The following is a 2,620-nucleotide window of genomic DNA, read 5'->3' as shown; positions in this document are numbered from 1 at the left end:
GTGTTCTAATTTGGAGTTTACTAATGTGAAAACTTTGTATAAACTTAAAGAGGCTGAAGAGAAAGAGAAGCCATTATTTTCTTCAATCAGAAGCAGAAATACATAAGAAAGTGGAAAATGTGGTTTGTAGTGGTTTCAGCAAAAATTCCTGCATACCATTCACTTTGATGTTGCAGGCAGCTGAGATCATCAGGAACTGCTACCTGCATTTCCTGCACCTCCTGATATCTTGAAAGCCAGCAGTGGTCCTCCCTGGCCTTCATCCAAAAATAATCTTCCAAAAGTTTTGTAAGCATCTAATTCCTGGCATTAAATCCCTTCCTGATATAATGCATGGAGTGTTTGGTTTTTTTCTGGCAGAATTCTTGCTGATACAAAGACTCTTCTGGGCATCTGCTGAGTTTTGTATACTTGCCTTCCTTTAATCATCACATTAAGCCTAGGATATTGGAACTATTATTTCCATTTGAAAGACGAATAAATTGAAGATCAGAAAGCTTAACTGACTTGTTCAAAGTCACTCAATAAATAGGTTCCTGAACCCAGACTCAAATACTGACCTCATACTCTTTGTTACTGTATAATACCATGTACGAGAATAATTCTATGGATGTGAACAACACAGGAGAGATTATGGGAGCTTTGTAGGAATGTGCATACTATGTTAATTATTCTCACGGTGCAGAGGACAAAGGGAGCCACAATTAAAATTAAGTTAATAAATTAATTTATTAATAAAATCAATTAAATTAAAGTTTTACTCTTCAAACATTTACCACGCCCCCCCCCCCTTTCAACAAGGGCATAGCAGAAACCCATCCCAGGAGGTAATGGTAGGGAGTGGTTAAAAATGAGGTAATTTTGAATAAAATTAGATTAAATCCTATCCAGACAGTTCCAATATGAAACTCTGGCTGAAAACCAAGACTGTAGATCCATTAAGCGGTTCGTTTATGCTGGGCAAAATGATTCTAGTCACCCTCCTCACTCAAATCCTCACCCTCATTCCACAGCATAGCGACAAGTCAAAATGTAATATATACCTTGTTCAAATCCAGTTCAAACATTGCACAAGGTTAAGTTTTTAGTTAGAATCAGTGACCTGAATGGTATAAGGCTGATAGCAAAGGATTCTCACACAGCAGATTTTCAATAGATGTTGTTGACATCTTACTCGTTCTCAGGAATACTGTGTGAGAAGATAGGTCTTTGTCTTCTACTCAGTAAGCACCAATACACTCTGCCTGTGCAGTAACTGTCATTACTGCATTGCAGCTCAGCAGAATGAGTGTGGAAAGTCAAGTTACATTTTATTCCATTGAAAAGGAGGCCTAGAACTTGAATCAAATACTTCTCAGACACTTTCCAGAGATGCAAGCTTGATATGCCAAGTAACTCTCCGAATAGAGTCACCGTCTGCATTACTAGAGGTTTCTGCCAGATTTCTAACTCCCTATTAGCAACCTGCTTTGTTTCCACACAGTCCTATCTCCCTTTATGTAACAGTTTGTTAGTTAACATTATGGAATTAGAAAAGAATCACTCTTTGGATTCCTAATTCTGCTTTTATATATTGCCTAAGACAATAGCCTTGCCTCCTATTTAAATCACTTTTGTTGATTCATTTACTCAGCAAATATTTTATCAAATGTTTATTGAGCCTGTAGTATTTGTCAGGTAGGTGGTTAAGATTGGAGTACACAATACTCATCTAATAGATCTGGCCCTTATCATGCTTTATCTGGTTTACCCATTTGGTGGGGTTTAAGGTAGGAGGGGAAGAGACCTGAAATTCACATGATTTGAATGAAAAGAAAAAAAAATTAGTTCCAATAATAAAGAATTATATATTTAAACAGCCTAAACATAAAATTCCATTTTCAAAGTATTAATTCATTGAAAATATTTATAAAACATTTACTATCTGTGTAGTATTGTACTAGATTCTGGCATAAAATATATTAGTAAGCATCAGTCTGTGCCCTCAAAGAGTTCAGTTTGGAGTGAGAAACAGGTAGATAAAGTAAGATAAGTGGCAATACACACTCTGAAACATAATATACCCACTCAAGCAGAAAAGTCAGGGACAGCAATCGATTTGAGTCTTGAAGGATGAGAAGTTTTGCCAGGCTGAGGAGAGGAATGTATTCTTACAGAAGGAAGAGCCTGTTCAAAATGACTGAGGTAGGCTTTGGGAATGGTGCTTTCTGCTTGAAAATGTGGGTCTCAATAGTGCTGCATGGTAGAATTACTGCAGACCCTAGCCCAAACCAAAATAGCATTGCGACTTGGAGAACTAATTTAATGGAGCTTGACTGAAGGACAACAAGCAGCGTGACTTCATTCTTAATGACAAAGAAACTGCTTCTGCATCAGTGTCCCCCACCCCCAAACTCTAATGTGAGAAGTCAATACTATCACTATAGAGGCCATGCAAAAATTATTTAATTTGATCACTAATCATTTTGTGCATTCCCTAATGAACTTATTATCAAAGTTCCTACTACACTTCCCCTATGGCAATATTTCTGCGTTTCACCATATATCAGATACTTACCATGATTCTTCTTTAATAATTCTTCTCTTTGCTCCCTTTCTGACAGGGAGTTTCAGTCTTTCT

The sequence above is a fragment of the Homo sapiens genome, chromosome X, assembly GCF_000001405.40.
Source record: "Homo sapiens chromosome X, GRCh38.p14 Primary Assembly".
NCBI lineage: Eukaryota > Metazoa > Chordata > Mammalia > Primates > Hominidae > Homo > Homo sapiens.
The sequence above is the reverse complement of the archived record's forward strand: the minus strand, read 5'-3'. Positions refer to the sequence as shown.